General features: G+C 50.2%; 1 protein-coding gene across 20 annotated transcripts in view, besides 2 other annotated features; it reads left to right on the top strand.

The window, feature by feature from the left end:
- SHANK2 (SH3 and multiple ankyrin repeat domains 2) overlaps positions 1–20,392 on the top strand; it is a 785,381-nt gene that overhangs the window by 348,194 nt on the left and 416,795 nt on the right. For 19 of the 20 annotated variants that reach the window (NM_001441030.1, NM_001441032.1, NM_001441037.1 and 16 more), the window contains one exon: positions 8,474–8,540. In NM_001441030.1, coding sequence (NP_001427959.1) covers positions 8,474–8,540 — 67 coding nt within the window. Of the gene's footprint in view, positions 1–8,473; positions 8,541–9,473; positions 9,645–20,392 lie in introns of all 20 variants that reach the window. The other variant, NM_001441024.1, reaches the window with a different exon arrangement.
- Positions 12,355–13,280: an enhancer, noted in NCBI's record as "H3K4me1 hESC enhancer chr11:70737866-70738791 (GRCh37/hg19 assembly coordinates)". NCBI's record gives its function as "activates a minimal SCP1, AML or CMV promoter by ChIP-STARR-seq in primed H9 embryonic stem cells {active_cell/tissue: H9 hESC(primed)}" and the evidence as "EXISTENCE:reporter gene assay evidence [ECO:0000049][PMID:30033119]".
- Positions 18,510–19,009: an enhancer, noted in NCBI's record as "H3K4me1 hESC enhancer chr11:70732137-70732636 (GRCh37/hg19 assembly coordinates)". NCBI's record gives its function as "activates a minimal SCP1, AML or CMV promoter by ChIP-STARR-seq in primed H9 embryonic stem cells {active_cell/tissue: H9 hESC(primed)}" and the evidence as "EXISTENCE:reporter gene assay evidence [ECO:0000049][PMID:30033119]".

Genomic DNA, 20,392 nt, shown 5'->3' with positions numbered 1-20,392 from the left:
GCACCCAGGCTGTTCCTCCCATTTCCCCACTGTATTAGTCCATTTTCACGCTGCCGATAAAGACATACCTGAGACTGGGAAGAAAAAGGTTTAATGGACTTACAGTTCTACATGGCTGGGGAGGCCTCACAATACTGGTGGAAGGCAAGGAGGGGCAAGTCACATCTTACATGGATGGCGGCAGGCAAAGAGAGCTTGTGCGGAGAAACTCCCCTTTTTAAAACGATCGGATTGACTGGGCACGATGGCTCATGCCTGTACTCCCAGCACTTTGGGAGGCTGACGTGGGCAGATTACTTGAGGTCAGGAGTTCGAGACCAGCCTGCCTAACATGGTGAAACCCCATCTCTACTAAAACTAGAAAAATTAGCCAGGTGTGGTGGCAGGCACCTGTAATCCCAGCTACTCAGGAGGCTGAGGCAGGAGAATCACTTGAACCTGGGAGGTGGAGGTTGCAGTGAGCTGAGATTGTACCACTGCACTCCAGCCTGGGTGACAGAGTTAGACTCCATTAAAAAAAAAAAAAAAAACCCATCAGATCTCCCACCGGGTCCCTCCCACAACAGTGGGAATTATGGGAGCTATGAGATGAGATTTGGGTGGGGACATAGAGCCAAGCCATGTCACCCGTGTTGGTCTTTAAGTTCCTCAGAGGCTGAGGGTGCAGCTTTTTAGGTGATGGCATGGGATTGCAGTCCACGCCACCTGCGGGACCTGAGCATGTAGCTTTACCTGCTGTGCTCACCAGCCCCCAGCCTGCCTGCACCTCCTGAACACGCTCGGGCCCTGTGGGCACCGAGCACTGTCCTTTGGCATGAGACTCAGATAATTTCCAGGCACCCACCTTGTGGCAGTCTGATCCTTCTCACCACTTACTACTTGAGTGGTTTGTTTCTGAGTTTGTGGGGCAGGCAACACCAAGCGAGGAACAAGTGCCCCCATGAAGTCTACAGGTGTCCTTGATGGGGTGGGTGCAAGGACTGGGTGGATAGCAGGGGCTGCCTAATTTAATACAGATTAGGGGTTTGGAGGAAGCACCAGGTCGAGGGTCTGTGCTGGGAATTTGGGGTGCTGCTCCTGGAATGGGCCTTACCTGCTTACACAGCATCAAAGTGGGGCATTTCGGGGAGAAGGAGGGTTTGGGGTTTGGCAGAGCTCAGGGCTCTAGGAAGATGTGCAGGTGGCATTTTCACCAGCTTTGCGGGGCTTTGCATCTGGCACACAGCACCTTCTCCTGGTACTGCAAAGCTGGACAATGGCTTAAGAAGAGAGGGGACAGGAAGTCTCTGCGGTGTTGCAATGCATGTGGCAGAAGAGACAACAGGGCTTCACAAGTCGGGGCTTCCAGCCAGTGGTCATGCACAGAGTATGTGGCAGGGGTCTGAACCAACCTCGAGCCCCGGGACCCCAGCCCCTCGTGGACAAGCCCTGGGTGCCTCTACTGTCTTTCCCAATGACGCTTGCCAATGATGAGTGTGATGGATCGAGTCCCCAGTCTTTCTGTGATCCTAAGTCCTAGTGGGCTGTGATTGTCATATTATAGGCTTCAAAGATGTGCTTCAAAGCTTGAGGCTAAGATAATGCTATTTTATTTTATTTTATTTTATTTTATTTTATTTTATTTTATTTTATTTTATTTTATTTTATTTACTTTATTTTATTTTGAGACAGAGTCTTGCTCTGTCACCCAGCCTGGAGTGCAGTGGTGCAATCTCAGCTCACTGCAACCTCCGCCTCCCGGGTTCAAGCAATTCTTTTGCCTCGGACTCCCGAGTAGCTGGGATTACAGGTGCCAGCCACCACGCACAGCTAATTTTTGTATTTTTAGTAAAGACGGGGATTCACCGTGTTGGGAAGGCTAGTCTCGAACTCCTGACCTCAGGTGATCCACTCACCTCAGCTTCCCAAAGTGCTGGGATTACAGGCATGAGCCACTGAGTCCAGCCGGCTAACTTAATGTTAGGTGTAAGCACTTGAGGTGCTAAGGAGGAGATGGTTGTCAATTCTTGAGTTGGGAGAATAGATGGAAACTCCCCCTTCTCCCCCAGCTGGTAGATCAGTGGAGGGGGGCCGTGCTGTCTCCTGGAGAGATGCACTGCCTTGCAGAGTGACTGCTGTTGAAAAAAAATGTGGGCTCCCTCCTGACATTCCTGCATCTGTAGGGGACCCTGTGGCTCTGAGTGCCAAGGGCAGAGCCCCCAGGGCCCCTGGCGGGGTGTCCATCTGCTTTCCTCTACTTGTTAATCCCAGTGCCAACTCTTGCAGGGGGCTTTGTCAGCACCAGCAAAAGGTTCCCATCTCAGATATGATTGCTTCATTCCAGGAAAACCCAGTTTAGGGCACTGAGGACTTACAACTGGGGGTGATTCCCACAAAAAAAATCCTGTGGTGCCCTCATCACACAAAACTTCAGCCATCGATGCCGCCTGGAACTGTAGATCACACTTCAAATGCAGGATGTCAATCATAAGGTCACAGCAAAGGCTCCAGAAAGTGATGCTAGCTCTGTCTTGGGGCAAGAGCTAAGGGGAGCCCCCTGAGAGGCAGCCCCCAAGGGCACAGCGAGAAATCCCAGCTCTGAGGGAGACAGGTGGGGAGGCGGCAGGGGCTGGGACCTCGGCCGCACACTTGGCTGAGAGGCCAGCGAGGGAGGATGCCCTCTGCATCTTCCCTGGAGGCCCCGCCCCTCCCTTTCCTTTGAGATCCACAGAAGAGAAACACAGACTGTTGCTTTGTGTTACATAACTCTTGTTTAAATGTCCATAAAAGGCCTTCCTCCTTCCCAGCCAGCAGATACGGAAGTGAGAATTAGGATGATTTAGAATGCCAGTGAGGCGTCTCATACAAATGCCCAGTGTGGTGCAGTGACACTGCCCGGGTGGCCGCCTGCTGCTCTGCTGTCCAGTGGCATGGCACAGAACTGGCTGCCCATCGTCTGAATTCTCCCAGCCTCCTGTCTGTCCAAGAGTGCCAGCCGGGCCCCGGGCCATGGAGACATCTTGCCTGTTGCTGTTTTTCAGGGCTCCCTCGTATGGTCTGTCCCCAGATGCCTCCCAAGGCCATGGTTTCTTGTCACCTCCTAGCCGCAGAAGCCAGGGTTCCCTTGGCTTCACATGTGGATTCCTCCCATGACTTACCAGTCGATGCCTTCTGTGCTGACCTCTGACCTTCCTCCCACCACACATCCATCTTGCCTGTCTTGCTGCCACATTCACCACGTCTGACATCCATCCTCCAAACCTTTGCCTGAGCTGTAACCTCCACCAGGTGCTCCTTCTCCGGGTACTCCAAAGCTGGCGATGGCTTGCAGAGGGAGGCGACAGGAAGTCTCTCTACATCCTGTGGGGGTAAGGGGCTCCTTCCTGCTCTGGGTTTCTTTAAACCCTAACATTTCCCCCTCAAGGTTGCATTATGGCCGTACCCTGCAGGTAGGCATCTGTCTGTATTACCGAAATGTTATTTGAAACAAGGAAGGAGGAGGACAGTTGAATTAATGGGGGAAAAACAGGCGAGCTGTAGAGAGCAGAGTTCTCATTTCTTCACTGGCTCCCCTCCAGGCCTCTAGGGCTCTGAAAAACCTGGACAAAGCAGCGTCCGTTCTTACAGGACTAGTCCTTCCCCTGCGCAGGGCACTTTTCACCATAGAAGATTCTGTGGGTGCCCAGCCTGAGTGTGGCTTGTCATAACCCTCGAGAATAATTTGTCATTTGTTGTTTCTTATGCTTCTATTTTTTACAAAGGTGTTTGACCTGTGATTATATCATAACTTTTTAAAAAAATGCCATAGTCCATGAAAATGACAGCATATTATAAGCTAAGGTGATTAGATGAAGAGTTTGAACCCAAACGGCTTGAGTGAATGTCTTGACTTTGGTGCTGACTGTGATGTGGAGCCCGTTCCTTATCGCTCTGTGCCTCAGTTTCCCCCTCTGTCGAGTAGAGATAATGGTGCCCACTTCATAGAGCTGTTAAGATCAAAAGAGGTCGCTCCTGGGAACTCACTCAGAGCAGCGTGTGGCACCTGAGCCTCGGCTGTGTCTCTGCTGTGAGTATTCTTTTCACTGCTGTGCACACCTGCAGCCACAGAGACAGACCCCACACTCTGCCTTCCTCATGCACCCAGACCAGCAGCCTGACACCAGCAATGCTGAGCCTGACACCAGCCTGACACTGAGCAATGCTGAGATGTCACATAAGACCCAGTTCCCTCTTCCTTCTCCCAGAAGACTTTTACTGGGAACCCATGATAAGCCAAGCATAGGGCGGGCAGTGCCAGAGGACAGGCAGGAGGCTGCTTTCTGCCAAGAGGAATTTCTAGGCCTTGAAATCATCAAGGGGAGAAACAGTCAGGCAATTATCACAAGTAAATGTTTGCATTGTTCTCATTTGCACTGTGAGTTGAGTCCTTTAGACCAGCAGGGAGGTGCCTGGGCTTAAGCTCCTAGGGCTTTTCTTTGGAAGGAGAATCCCGGAATCACTAGGGGATGGTCCACGTACGTGTTATTTCAGCAGCTGTCCTAGGTGTGTGTTCCAGTGCAGATGTGGGTGTGCACTTGTGTGTATCTGACTGCGCATTTTTGTGGGGCGCTGGGTGACCTGGGGGTGGATTACCTTTACAAAGAGCAGTCTGCAGTGTTTGAAGACATAGTCATCATTTTTCTAATCATAGCAAACTTTTTTTTTTTTTTGACACCGAGTCTCGCTGTGTCACCGAGCTGGAGTGCAGTGGCACGATCTTGGCTCACTGCAGTCTCCACCTCCCAGGTTCAAGTGATTCTCCTGCCTCAGCTTCCCGAATAGCTGAGACTACAGGTGCATGCTACCACGCCCAGCTAATTTTTGTATTTTTAGTAGAGATGGGATTTCACCATGTTGGCCAGGATGGTCTCCATCTCTTGACCTAGTGATCCGCCTGCCTCAGCCTCCCAAAGTGCTAGTATTACAGGTGTGAGCCGCAGCGCCTGGCCCATAGCATAGTTTTTTAGGGTTGATTGGCCATGTGCCACGCACTGCTCTAAACCTTTACTTGTGAGATCTCAATAAATCCACACACCAAACCTATTTCACAGGTGAGAAAACCTAGGTTTGTGGGTTACACGTAATGCCCAGTGTCACATAGTACCAGTCTGGATTTACACCCAGGCAGCCCAGGCCAGAGCCCATGCCCTCCACCTCTGGGGCCGCATCCCTCCGCCAGTCCGCCAGTATCACCTCAGGCATTCGGCAAGGGCTGGTCTGTAGGAGTGCAGGAGAGATGCCTGGGCCTGTGGGCAGGGAGGCCTAGTGCCATCCTGAGCCAGCACAACCATCAGGGACCTGGAGAAGGACATGTCTGGCTCAGCCTGAGCAGACCAGGGCATGGGTCCACATCACCTAAGTCGAGTTCCCAAAGCTGAGTTGGAGGTGGGCTATAGGAAGAGATGGCCCCCTTTTGGGAGGACGGCACCTCAGCTTCTGACTCTCTGAATGTGGCCTGGAGACATGCTTATCTCTAAAGCCACCTTTTCTACCTTCATGCCCAAGGGAAGCCGCCACTCAGGAGGCTTCCCCCACATCTTAGTCCATTCTCACACTGCTATGAAGAAATACCTGAGACTGGGTGATTTATAAAGAAAAGAGGTTTAATCGATACACAGTTCCGCATGGCTGGGGAGCCCTCAGGAATCTTACAGTCATGACATAAGGCACCTCTTCACAGGGTGGCAGGAGAGAGAATGAGTGTCAGCAGGGGAAATGCCAGACACTTATAAAACCGTCAGATCTCATGAGAACTCACTCACTATCACGAGAACAGCACGGGGAAACCACCCCCGTGATTCAGTTACCTCCCGCCGGGTCCCTCCCTCGACACATGGGGATCATGGGGATTATAATTCAAGATAAGATTTGGATGGGGACACACACAAACCATCTCACCTCACAGCTCTGCCCTGTGGTCCTGCCCGTAAGTCTTTGGGCAGAGACCATCTAACTGTTGAAACCAAGGGGTGGATCTGATGATCTCTGAATTCCTTTCAGGGTTATTTTGCCTTCTTCCTGAAGAGTAGCACACATTTGTGACCAGACAGCTCTGTTACCCTCTTCTGTCAAATCCATTAAGTCCGATAGTCTTCTTTCATTTGTCTTATCTCCATCACCTTCCATTCAAACTGGCAGAGTTCCTGCTTTTATAATCCCATACATTATCAAGTGATGTTCCAGCCATACCCTCAGTGTTCGTTTTGTTGCAATGTGGTTAGGCTTTTTCACTTTTTGCCGTATGGATAGACTGAGAATCTTCCAAATCTTCAAGCTCTGCTTCCTTTTTGCTTAACAATTCCTTCTTCGATTCATTTCTCTCCTTTTGCATTTTACTATAAGCAGTCAGGAGGATCCAGCTGCTCCTTCAGCACTTTGCTTAGAAATCTCTTCAGCTAAATATCTGATTTTATCGCTCACACAGTCTACCTTCCACAAAAATACTAGAACACAGTTGAGCCAAGTTCTTTGCCACTTTAGAACGAGCATCACTTTTCCTCCAGTTTCCAGTAACGTGTTCTTCATCTCCATCTGATATCTCAGCAGAATCATTCTAACATTCATATTTCTAGCATGCACCTCAAAACTCTTCCAGCCTGTAATCATTACCCAGTTCCAAAGCATTTCCATAATATTTTTAGATATTTGGTTTTTTTCACCAACACCATATTTATTAAATGTATACATATATATATATACACATATATATATGTGTGTGTGTGTGTGTGTGTGTGTGTGTGCGTGTGTGTATATATTTGGCCAGGCACAGTGGCTCATGCCTGTAATCTCAGCACTTTGGGAGGCAGGCTGATCACTTGAGGCCAAGAGTTTGAGACCATCCTGGCCAACATGGTGAAACCCTGTCTCTACCAAAAAAAAAAATTTTTTTTTAATTAGCCAGACATGGTGGCACATGCCTGTAATTCCAGATACTCAGGAGGCTGAGGCACAAGAATCACTTGAGCCTGGGAGGCAGAGATTGCAGTGAGCCAAGATCACATCACTGCACTCCAGCCTGGATGACAGAACAAGACCCTGCCAAAAAAAAAAGAAAAAAAAAAGTGTGTGTGTGTGTGTGTGTATATGTATATTATGAGACATTTCAGAATAGCCTGCTGCTGCCAGCAGCCAATAATTCTAAATAAAGTCCCAAATTATTACACAAATTTGAGCTTTAAAAATATTCTTTAAGAAAAAATAAAAACTGAAGAGCGAAGACTTTCTGAGGAATATGACCTAAAGGAAAGGTCCTTTGAGGCCTACAGATGCCCTAAGTAAGGAAGAAAAAACACAAAACCAAAAATCACCCACCCTACCTTACCAGATCACCTCATACACACAAGAAGAAAGGTTGATTTAAATTAAACAAATGAAGTAAGCCCATGTTGGGAAGATGTTATAGATATTTGTTATAGCCACACCCCACTCCTGGCACTAAAGTCTGCATTTGTTTATAATTTGTTGTAAAGAATTGGCTCATATAATTATGAGGTTGGCCAATTTGAAATCAGTAGGTAAGGCTGGAAACTCAGGCAGGAGTTGATGCCTTAGTCCTAAGGAAAGACTTCTTCCATAGGAAACCTCAATTTCTGCTCATAAGGCCCCCAGCTGTTTGGATAAGGTCCACTTACATTATGACTTGACATCAGCGCATTGTAGATGTATGTGTATTTCTCCAGGCTGGCATCTGAATGCCTGGCTCCTTTTGTGGGTTATATGTATTGCCCTGAGCCCAAGGTCTCTCCTTCTGAGGCACTGTGTGCCTTGCCCGTGTGGTCTCTGGTCCTGGCCTTCCTTATGGGTCTCCATGGCCATCCTAGGATACTTGGCTTTACCTGCCTGACTGCTCTCCCATATCAAAGATCATGCATCTTTAGGCAACAGATCTGTAGGGCCGGAGTTGGAACAATTTCCTGTAGGTGATGGTTTTGGTGCCACTCATCTGGCTGTGCATACATCTATGGGTAGAATTTTTCCCACATAACTGAAATCTGATGAGTTTTAAATGCTTTTTTTGAGGTTTCCCCTTCTTTCCAGTTATGTAGATTGGCATGCATCTAATCAGATAAACAGGGCTCCGGGGTGTCAGAGCTGGAACCAATCAAGCCCCGTGGGTACACAGGACATAGTCAATGGGGAGATTTCCAGACTCAGGCCTGGTTGAATCCTCAGCTGCTCTATGGGTAATTTGCCCCACATGCCTTCTGGACAGAGGCCCCCACTCATATAGGTTGTAGAGCAACGACAACCTTATCATCATAGAACAGCCAACTGCTTTGAGAGAAGTGAGTGTGGTGGTTGGCAAGGTGAGTGGATGAGTGTTGATATTGCGGCTGCCATTTTAAAGGTTCTGATTGGACTTCTTTTGGTGTTAGGCCTTCAATGATGTAATAGTATATGCAGAAATCATTGTTCTGCAGGTGACACTTAACTTAATGTGATTTTCACTTTGCAGGTGGCCATAATAGCAGGCAACTTTGAGCTGGCAGAATACATCAAGAACCACAAGGAAACAGACATTGGTGAGTAGGCACGTGGAGAAACTGTGTTGGGATTTGGTTTGGAGATGCTCTGAGGAATCAGTCACTCACCAGCTTTTTAAAATTCTCCTAAGATTGGTTTAGAGCCTGCTTTTAGCAAAACTTAACATAGTATTAGCCCATTTTCTGTCTCTGGTCTTAACTTTTTTTAACTTATAGTGGGGATGGGGCTAAGGAAGACCTTAGAGGTTAGGCTGTCTGAAACATGCCTCTCTAGAAGGATGATGTTCTGATCTATTCTGACAGTCCCTGTTGCAAGGTTTCTTTCCATGTGAACATCATTGATTTAGTAAAATGGGGAGAGGAACAGGAAGTGTTTAATTTATGCTAAGGGTTGGCTCTAGGATTCCCTATCTGATGTATGTATCTGATTTTCCCCATTAATGATAAAAATTGATACATGTCGTTACGCATTTGTCCAAACTGGTAGAATGTACAAGCCCAAGAGTGAACCCTAATGTAAACTATGGACTTCGAGTGACACTGTAGGCTCTCAGTTGTAACAAATGGCCCACTCCAGGGGGGTGTTGATGACTGGGGAGACTGCACGTGAGGGGCAGGGGCTCTCTGGGTAAGCTCTATTCCTTCTGCTTGGTTTTACTGTGAACCTAAAACTGCTCTAAAAATATGACATCTTTTTTAAAAATCTAAAAAGAAAAGAAATCAAACTGGAGAATGTGCTAAGCATCAAGCAATGGATGTAGGGCACGGCTCTTGATTGCTGAAACAAATTAATTTGCAGCTGATTTGGATGTGTTTATTGGAAGGTGCCGTAGCATCCACGCTTCTATTTAGGCAAAGAGCTGGTGACCCGATGAGGGTGGAGAGAGAGCCAGTGGCATCCTCTCGGCTCCCCTCTGGTTGCCTCTGCTTCACTTCCTCCGCAGTTGTGCTGATGGCCATTCCCCTTTTTAGTACCCCTTGTGCCAACCAGGAGGAGAGTCTTTGGGGCTCCTCCTCTCTCCCATCGCCCTGCCATCGGCTGGGCCCAGTCTTGCAACTTGGACGAGCCCACTGGCCTGTTTCCTCCAGCCCCGCGCTTCCACAGGACCTGCAGCGGGGAGCAGTCCCATTGGACCGGCAGTGGTGAGCTTTCGAAGATGGCATCACCCCATCAAAGGGGTCAGGGGGGTGCTCCTGGGTGTCGTTTATTGCCTGTGCCCGTCACCTCATTTTTGGCATCAGGGAAAGCAGAACTGTGTTTGGCTGTCGAGGCTTTACCGTGTGGCATGTGTGCCCTACGTCAACCACGGCCGGTACCTACCCCGCCTTGGAGAACCGCACGAGGATGCAGAGCCAGATGCATGGCTTGCGTCATCAAGCACCTGTGCAGAGCCTCGGGGCCTCCCAAAGGCTGCGCCTGACACTGACTTGCACATCCCTCCTGTGAGCCAGGGCAAATCACTTAATTGCTCTGAGATCCAGGGTTCTGCCAGGGCTGCCTCAGCACCTCCATGAGCGCGTTATAGAGATTGATGAGTTAATGTCTGCAAAATGATTTAGAAAATGAACTGAGCTCTCAGAGTGCCAGAGACCGTCTTCCTGCTGCCTCCCTAATATGAAAGAGCAGCACACAGGATAGCTTTGGTTTGAGAGCTAAAAATATCGGCTGCTGTGAAGGGAGTGGGACTCTCTTGACCAGGGGCACACAGTGAAGAAGGGAGGTAAGGGAGTCTGAGCACAGGTCCCGCCCATGACGACAGGGGTTGTTGCTGGCACCCCTGGAGGCAGAGCCCCCGCCAGCTCCACAGATCCTGAGTTGTCTGGGATGGTAACAAGCTAAGGGCTACCCCATTGGGCTACCCTCACTGGGGCCTGCACTGCAAAGAGGAAGGGGTGAAGTGGCTTCCTTATCCCAGCTCTCCACATGGAGCTGAGAGATATTGGGGCTGCTACCCCTGACCCTAAGTCTTGCCCCATGGAGTCACAGCCACCCTTCCTCCCTTCTGAGAAGGTAAGGTCCAGCCACTAAACCCCCCTACTCAAAAACAGGAGGGGCCAGGCGCGGTGTCTCACGCCTGTAATCCTAGCACTTTGGGAGGCCAAGGTGGGTGGATCATCTGAGGTCAGGAGTTTGAAACCAGCCTGGCCAACATAGGAAACCCTGTCTCTACTAAAAATACAAAAATTAGCTGGGTGTGGTGGCAGGCACCGGTAATCCCAGCTACTCGGGAGGCTGAGGCAGGAGAATCGCTTGAACCCGGGAGGCAGAGGTTGCAGTGAGCCGAGACTGCACTACAGCCTGGGCAACAAGAGCTAAACTCTGTCTCAAAACAAAAACAAAAACAAAACAAAACAAAAACCAGGCTGACTTTCCAAGTACGTTGAAGCACCGAGTTGATTTCACAATCCACCTTGGGAGACACTTGTTGTCTTTTCAGTTTTGGGATATAATTATGAATACCTTTCTTATTTATGATGCAGACAACTCTTTACGAACAGAGAGGTTTTTTTCATTATTATAAAAGGAATGCCCATTTGTTGGGCGAATACATTTTAATTACCCTTTACCTGTTCTGATCAATTGTTAACTGTAAACAGCACCCCCCATTGAGAGAGGGGGGCACCCACCACAGGCTCACGTGACTAACATATTTTGAAGTGCCAGGATCGAGGTTTGAGTCTCTCATGTCCGTATGTTTGTAAAATCCCCAGTCCTGCAGGAAAGAAGCAGGACTGGCTTTTACAATCAGCTTACGCAGGGAGTCAGTGTCTGTTGTTCCCTGATTTTTGGGCTTTCCCAGGGCCCCAAAGGGAAAGGATAGTTTAGAAAATCTATACTTGCCCATGCGGTTCCTTGTGCATCTACAAAGAAGAAGAAGAAAAAAAACCTCTTGTTTCATCTGAGTCATCTAAGGGTTCGTGATTATGAACTAGCAAACTGGCATCAACAAAAACTGTGCCATTTAGATCAATTGTGTTGAAAGTTTCCCGCAGAGAGAGATGAAGGGTGTGGAGGCTGAGTCCTCTAGGAACCTGACATCTCTCAATGTGTTGATTGATCCAAGCACAGTGAATCTGTTGTGAAATCCTGAACTAATGCCTTCTTAACTAAACCTGTAGGTTGGAACCCAATTGCTTCTCCCCCTCCCCTGTGGTCACCCCCACTTTGCATCGCCCCTCTGGCAGGGGCCAGGTGCTGGGTATGTGGTGGGGAGGGTCTCATACTCTCTTCCCCACTAGCTTGTGCGTTTTTTGCCTGCATGTGTCTTGCTAACTCCTGCATGCGGGTCTTTGCCCATTGTTTAAGAAAGCTGCCCAACTTCTGGGTGAATGAATGAGTAACCACAGTGAAAACAGTTAGCACTTACCAAGTACTACAGGCCAGCACTTCACGTACAGCATCACAGCCATGCAAACCTCCACGTCCAGATGCAGTTGTGGTCTCCATGTGTAGAAGAGCCTAGGCGACATGGCATTTGGGGTGGGGCTCCCCTAGAAGCTGACCTTGAGGTGAGGATTTGAGGACAAGTTGTTTATTGTGGAGGAGATACAGGAAGCACCAGCAGGGACTTAGGGAAGGAAGTCAGGGAAGGGCAGGGCACCAGCTGTACACATGTGTTCATGAGCAGTTGACTCTGTGGGCCCCGGAGGCTCAGGCCCCTGGGGTCCTCTGGGAACCTGCAGAGGGTGTGCCTGGTCATTATGAAGCAGTTCATGTATTTACCCACCAGTTCCAGCTCCTATGCGTGCTCCCTCTGGGTACCAAGACCCCCATCAGGGATTTGGGGAATTGCAGGGGCCTGTGGGGGTAAGCAGTGCACATACCTGGGAACAGTGAGTGCCAAGGAGATGCAGGCAGGGCACCGATGACATCTTAAATTCAGGACTTTTCCAGAGCCACATGCTGGAGGAATTGGGCAAACCAGATTTCAACCCCATGTCCATCTGATGCTGAAGTACTTACCTTGAGAACCTGTCCTTTCAACCACCACATGCTGCTGCCTCCTTGTTGAAGCTGAGAAAAACCTTCCACCATACAAGAGCTGCAGGCATCAGTGTGGACTGGGATGGGGCAGGCTGGGGAGGCTTCATAGAGGCTGGACCTAGAACCAGAGCTGGGAAGGTGGCCAGAGGGAAGAGGAGGCTTCCTGGGCCACAGATCACCAACAGGGCAGTCCCCCCCACCATAGTTAGAGGGGTATCTCCTCTCTGCTTCCTCATCCAGGCTCCCTCGCTCTAGGATTACTAGAGCTAAGCATTTGTCAGCTCCTAGCCAGCTCCCCAGCTGTGCTTAGAAGGCAGGGTAGGGCTGGAGGAAGATGATGCTTAAGACCGCATGGGGTGGAGCCTGGCGGCTGGAGAGAGTTGTCTGAGAATGGATGGACTGATGGACTAAGGTGCCAGCCTCATGACGGTGTGACGGTGCTGCCTGGCAGCCCCCGAGGGAAGCCTTTGTAGCTCACAGTGGTCTCTCACGAGGGTGGCTTGAGGTGCTCATCTTCTGAGCTTTCGAGAGACATCATGTTTTAGTCAGAACTGGTCCTGGCCACCCCTGTCCTCAGCCGGGGCTCAGAGTAACTTCTCACCCACAGAATCTGTTGTTTTCTCTGCAAAGCCTAGATTCCTCCACCTTCCACATTAACATTTCAAAGAGGAATGTCTTCTGTGGCATTTCTCACCCACCATGAAATTTTCAATTGTCACTGGGATGCTCCTTCCCAGAATGCTCTTAGCAGTGTCAGGGTGAGGGTCCATCATGGTCACCCAGGAGACCTTCAGAGGGGAGGTGCAGCCTGGCCCTCTACCCTGGGGGATGGAGACCGAGAGAGGGAGGGAGGAGGACACGCTTTTGGTGCTGCATAGTCACCTCTGTGGGATCACAGAATGAAAGAATTCCAACTATGAGACCTTGGAGGCTGTCCACCCAGAGCACCAGCAGAAGGAACCAGCCCTGCCAACACATCGATTTTGGACTTCTGGCCTTCAGAACTATGAGATAGTAAATTCTGGTGTTTTTTTGTTTTTGTTTTTGTTTTTTAAGACAGAGTCTTGCTCTGTCACCCAGGCTGGAGTGCAGTGGCGCGATCTCGGCTCACTGCAAGCTCCGCCTCCCGGGTTCACGCCATTCTCTTGCCTCAGCCTCCGGAGTAGCTGGGACTACGGGCGCCCGCCACCACCCCCGGCTACTTTTTTGTATCTTTAGTAGAGATGGGGTTTCGCTGTGGTCTTGATCTCCTGACCTCGTGATCTGCCCGCCTCGGCCTCCCAAAGTGCTGGGATTACAGGCGTGAGCCACCGTGCCCGGCCTCTGGTGGTTTTCAGCCACTCCGTTGGTGGTTGTTGCCACCAACTGAGCAGGACGATATGGCCCCAGTCTCTTCCCGTCTAGAGAGGAGCCCGCATACGCTGAGGAAGGCAGACTGCCTGTGCTAGAGGAGAGGCATCCTTTCTCCCAGGCTGTACTTGCACATGTCAGGTACCTGAAATGGCAGGTCCTGAAGATGCCTGCACTCTCACCAGCTCAAACACCTATGTGGTCACCATCTTCCCGTGACAACTCTTTTTTTTTTTTTTGAGGCGGAGTCTATCACTCTGTCACCCAGGCTGGAGTGCAGTGGCACGATCTTGGCTCATTGCAACCTCCGCCTCCCGGGTTCAAGCGATTCTCCTGCCTCAGCCCCCTGAGTAGCTGTGATTACAGGCGCCTGCCACCATGCCCAGCTAATTTTTTTTTTTTTTTTTGAGACAGTTTCACTCTTGCTGCCCTGGCTGGAATGCAGTGGTGCGATCTTGGCTCACTGCAGCCTCTGCCTCCTGGGTTCAAGCGATTCTCCTGCCTCAGCCTCCCGAGTAGGTAGGATTACAGGCACGCGCTACCATACCCGGCTAGTTTTGTGTTTTTAGTAGAGATGGGGTTTCTCCATGATGGTCAGGCTGGTCTCAAACTCTGAACCACAGGTGATCCGCCCGCCTCAGCCTCCCAAAGTACTGGGATTACAGGCCTGAGCCACCATGCCTGGCCTCTGTTTTTTTGTTTTTTTTGTTTTTTTTGTTTTTTTTTTTAGTAGAGACAGGGTTTCACCATGTTCGCCAGTTTGATCTCAATCTCTTGACTTCATCATCCACATGCCTCAGCCTCCCAAAGTGCTGGGATTACAGGCATGAGCTACTGGGCCTGGCCCAATTTTTTCTATTCTTAGTAGAGACGGGGTTTCACCATATTGGCCAGGCTGGTCTTGAACTCCTGACCTCAGGTGATCTGCCTGCCTCGGCCTCCCAAAGTGTTGGCATTACAAGCATGAGCCACCACGCCCAGCCTGGTGACAAGTCTTCATTGAGCACCTTTTTCACAGACCCTGTGCTAATTTGGAGATTCAGAAATATTTGCATGTCCCAGGCCCTTTGGGGGAGGGGATGACCATGGAAGATAATGTCCCTCTGTCCCCTTCTACCCCCCAGATCTAAAAGTGATGTTTGAAGGATGGTGGATCCTGTGCACCCTTCCTAGGTGGAGTGAGCTACTAATCTGTTGCTGTTTAATGGGAGCACACACCACACCCGCTCAGGAAAACAGGCTTTTCCACACACGTTGCTTCTCTGGCTGTTGCAGCTCCTACTCCCCCATGTCCTGGCCCCAGTCTTCCAGCTGCGTCTGCCTCCTCTGCTCTCTCTCCATCCTCCATTCCCAGGAGCCTTCTATGTTGCTGGCATCCGCCCCTAAGACAGCTTCTGAACCACCCCACTCCTGGTCCTGGTCCTGGTCCTGACTGTCATCTTGACTCGCCTGCCCTAACCCTCTCCTACCCACTGAGGCCCCCGCTGCCCAGCGGCCTGTATGATTTGGGGTGCATCTGAGTCCCTTGGGGAACTTGTGTGGAATGCAGATGCCCAGCGCCACCATCAGAGTCTGACTCAGTGGTCGAGGGTTCCTCTGGAACTGCGGTTTCAAATCCCGCTGGTGGTTCTCATGCCGGACGTCCCAGCACCAGCTCCTCCTTTGCTTCTCAGGACCTGCCAGGCGTTTCTGCTCATCCACATCTTTCGTGGGCCTGCTCAGGACCCAGGGATGGGCTGTGTACCCGGTTCCCGGGGCTGCCACAACAAATGACCACCAACTGTGTGGCTTTAAGCAACTGGAATTGACTGTCTCCCTGTTTTGAAGGCCAGAAGTCCAAAATCAAGGTGTTGGCAGGGCTGGTTCCCTCTGCAGGCCCAAGGGAGGAATCCTTCCTTGCCTCTGAAGTTCCTGGGCTTGTGGATGCATCACCCCAGCCTCCGCCTCTGTCTTCACATGGCTTCCCCTGTGTATATCTCAGAGGTCCTACTCCTTTCCCTTATACGGACTCCAGTCTCTGAATTTAGAGTCTACCCTAAATCCAGGATGATCTCATCTTGAGATCCTTCAACTCATCACACCTGAAAAGACCCTGTTTCCAAATGAGGGTGCAGTTTAGGTCCCACGGATTAGGACTTGGGCCCATCTTTTTGAGGACCACCATTCCACCCACTCTAGGGAACTCACATTGCTTCATGACTTTTGTCTTCTCAGGCTGTTACCTCTTCAAGGACAGATGGTATCTGATTCTACCGTCCCCACTGTGCTAGGCACGTGGTGGGGCCTCAGGCAATGCATGTTGGATGGATGGCTCCTCCCCCAGCTCTTGTTCACTCCAAGTCAGCCTTTCTCTCATCCTCTTTCTCTCTTTTTTTTTTCTTTTTTTTTGAGATGGCGTCTCCCTCTGTCGCCCAGGCTGGAGTACAGTGGAGCGGTTTCAGTTCACTTCAACCTCCACCTCCCAGGTTCAAGCGATTCTGCTGCCTCAGCCTCCCGAGTAGCTGGGATTACAGGCACCTGCCACCACACCCAGCTAATTTTTGTATTTTTAGTAGAGATGGGGTTTCACCATGTTGGTCAGGCTGGTCTCAAACTCCTGACCTCCGGTGATCCACCCACCTCAGCCTCACCCAAAGTCCTGGGATTACAGGTGTGAACCACCGCGCTCGGCCCTACTCTCTGTTCTTGACCTCAAACCTGCCTTCCCTGGTACCCGGTCTTGAGTGTCAAGGGTGGGACACATATTGGCAAATCAGTTGCTGCATTGAGTGTGTTTGCGAGAGGGCAATGTTTTATCTGACTCGAACATTTTCAGAGTCCAGGAGCAGCCGAGCTCAGAGGCACAGAGGAGAGGAGGCAGTTGGAGGAAGTGGGCTGTGTTGGGTTTGATGTCGTGAGTCCTCAAGCCAGGGATTTCTGGATTTCTGCTTTAGATCGTGGGTGGCCATGTGGCTTCCTGATTCTAGGTTCTGTGGCTTGGCTTCCTCCACCCCATATCCTCCATAACCTCAGGGTGCTGCTGTAGTCCTTCTTCCTCAGGGTGAATCTTTTGTCCGTTCCTGGCCTCTTGGGTGGGGGTGGGTGGTGTCAGATGATCACCAGAGGACTCTAGATTCTTCACCTGCCATTTGTCTATCTCTGTCAACCTCAGGAATCATGGCGTTTCTGCATTATGGTCTTCAGCAAGACTTGTCTTATACAACTTAGCTTAGGAGACATATGGATGAAGCGAGGCCTGTCCCTTAAGCCTGAGGCTGTTGGCTCATGCTTTGGCGTCAGGGCAAACCCTTGGTGCTCACAAGCAGAGCTTTCTCCTGTCAAGAAGTGGAGGTGAGACTCACCTTTGCCTCTATGGGGTTGGGTCACACTTCTCAATATGGGTCTGGTGGAAGCAAATTCCAAGCTAGAGGTGGGTGTGGGGTGGATGTTGGTGCTTCAAAGTGGGTAAATTAAAATACCACACATTTTTCTGACTTGCCGTGTACAGCCTGGTCAATGGGATGTTTTCCTTTAAAAAGTCTCTTTAAAGGATCAAGTGGCCTCCCTGCTACTGAGGAGGGATCCTTTGTTTCCCAAACACAGAAGCAATCAGTGCCAGGAAATCAGTGCCCTTACGATGCTGGAATGTGGCTTTAGGGGAGAAGACAATGAACACTGTGAGGTGATGAATGGGTGCTCTGAGGTCTGTAGAACCCAGAAATGGATTCAAGTGTATCTCTTTAAAAGAGAGGTTTCAGCCTGCCGCGAAGCGTTCTGTTCACAATCCGGCCAGCATGTATGTTGCTGTTGTCTGATGCTGTGATGCTGTTTCTGTCCCCTTCCTCTTAAAAAAAAAAAAAAATTAAATGGGACCTCTGTTTGGTGATTTTATTTGCCAACTCGAAGAAAGTGATGGTTTAAATGTGGACGTGAATACCACAGTTAATCCTTGCTTGTTGTCGTCCAGTGTTTAGCCGGCCAAGTAAATGAGCCCAGCAGGTTATAAAAGCTTTGCCATAGAGCCTGGACGATGGCTTCTGTGGGATGGAGATCCCAAATAGCAAGACTGTCCGGGTGCCGGGGAGCCCGCATCTGAAACAGTCGTGCACACATTAAGCATGTTGCCAGCTGATAAGCTTTGGACTGGGATAACCTATTTTTTACGGTCTTTGTTGTTTTTGCTTTTGCCCGGCTTTGTGGGGAGATGCACTGTCAGATGGATTAAATGACATGGGTTGTTCTTCCTCAACCGAACAAGGTTTGTTTTCATACATCTTGTCCTTCCGCAGCTATGGAGAGAGAAGCGAGGGGTTTTTATATTTTAAAAGGAGGCACATTGAGCTGATGTGTGAGTTTGGGTGCCTGATTAGCCGACGAAGGAATACTTGGATACTGTTGCTAGGTTTCAAGACCGGGTGCCTGTATAATTATGCTTTAGATATGTATAGATGATGAATAGAGGGTGGTGTTTTCAAACAGATTGCTTAATGTAATATGTTAGGGGTGTGTGTGTGTGTGTGTGTGTGTGATTGTGTGATTGTGTGTGTGAAAGTAAAATTCAGGCTGATTTTGAGCCATGATCCTTTAAAAATATACCTGTTTGCTAGATACTACCTGCTGTGAAATAAAATAGATCTGATTTGAAAAATTTCAGTTTACCTGGCATTTTGACTGTGAAATGTGCTCCTTCCAATGAGACACAAATGATGATCTGCAGTAATCACAATAGCCTTTGTGTTTGCAAGTAGAACCAGCAGCTTCCAAGGAAAACCCCAAATCCTCACCTATTTCATTTCATTAGATCAGAGTGGTCGGGGTCCCCGTTATTGAGTCCCCTCCTGTGCATGTTAAGAATAAACCCTCCCAAGGAAAGTCAAGATTGTATTTTTACTTAGCGTTCTGCAGCAGTCACACAGCTGTTGACCAGATTCCCATAGAATATTTTCAAAACAAATTGCCGGAGAGGAAGGACAGAAAACCCCCAACAGACACAGCAGTTTCAAGGCATATGGGAGCAGTCGGCCGCCTCTGTGACCTGTCTGTTGGGACTGACCTGCGTCTTGTCTCGTCCCTCTTCGCGGGACCGAGTGAGCTGTGCAAGTCTGCGTGTGGTTTCCGGTCTGTGTGTGTGTGGTGCTGACTCCGCATGCCGGGCTGCTGGTTTCATCCGGACATAACCAGCTCTGTTGTTCGTCTGCCACTCTGGAGTCTTGCTTGGTGTCATTTTCATGTCAGCTGAAGGGGTCGGTCACGTGCGTGTTGCTGTGGTCCTACTTTCTCCCGTGCGTATCTGTCTAGAAGTTTTGTTCCAAATTGTAAAGCGGAGTTGACTGGCGGGGATGGGATCCAAGGTGACCGGCTTTGTGTAAGGGCCACAGGTGGCCAGCGTGTTGGGTTGGGAGGGTATTTTTACATTTGGCCGATTTCCAGCACCGACGCCCAGGGAGTGTCCGCTGGAGGATCAGCCGTCTTGTGTGGCCTGCCCCGAATGCTGTGTACATGGTGCTCCCGGGGCAATTGTGGATTTTGTCCTGATGGGATGCTGCAGTGACAGTGAGGCCGGAGCTCCTGCCCAGCATGCATCTCTGTGTGCCTTGTCTTTGTTGATGTTCGTTACCACGTTCTGTCCACACCCTTGCCCCATGCCTCCTGCGCAGCCCCTTTACTCACTGGAGCCCGCCCTGCGGCCTGTCCCCTCTTCAGCCAAATGGAGCACTGTTCAGGGGGACTGGGTGGAGGACACGGAGTCCCTGGCCGCACTGACTCCCACACAGTGGACACGTGGCTGCTGGGAAGTGTGTCCCACTGCGGATCCCCCATGGTGCACACAGAGATCGACTCCTTCCGTCTTCTGGGTTGAACTCTTCCCCAAACCTGAGCTTCTCCCAGCTCTTTGCTCCCCGGTCCTGGGCAGTTCTCACCCTTAGAGAAGAGCCTTTCCCACTCCATCCCCCACGGAAGGGCAGAAGCTCAGAGAGTCTCCACTGTGCCCTAGCCTGACCCTCACCATGCGGTCCCTGCGCGGTTCCCCTCTATACAGCGCTCCCAGGGCACTTACGGGAGATGACTTTGTTCCCTGGTTCCCAACCACACGAGACCCCAGTTCTCTTAGAAAAAGTGTTGTATAACATCTCCTTCATTATCCTCAAATGAAACTCTTAGATAACATACCCTGACATACACGTGGAATTTAGAAAAGACCCCTGGCTGGGCGCAGTGTCTCACGCCTGTAATCCCAGCACTTTGGTAGGCTGAGGTGGGTGGATCGCCTGAGGTCAGGAGTTCAAGACCAGCCTGGCCAACATGGTGAAACCCCATCTCTACTAAAAATACAAAAATTAGCCAGGCATGGTGGCACGTGCCTGTAATCCCAGCTACTCGGGAGGGTGAGGCAGGAGAATCGCTTGAACCTGGGAGGCGGAGGTTGCAGTGAGCCGAAATCGCGCCATTGCACTCCAGCCTGGGCAACAAGAACGAGACTTCGTCTCAAAAAAAGAAAGAAAAGAAAAGATACCCATCGTGTTCTACAAAGCAGGAACACTGTTCTATGAAGCAGGAACACTCGGTGGGGGGGACC

This window comes from Homo sapiens, chromosome 11, assembly GCF_000001405.40.
Source record: "Homo sapiens chromosome 11, GRCh38.p14 Primary Assembly".
NCBI classification, from domain to species: domain Eukaryota; kingdom Metazoa; phylum Chordata; class Mammalia; order Primates; family Hominidae; genus Homo; species Homo sapiens.
The sequence above is the reverse complement of the archived record's forward strand: the minus strand, read 5'-3'. Positions and strand labels throughout refer to the sequence as shown.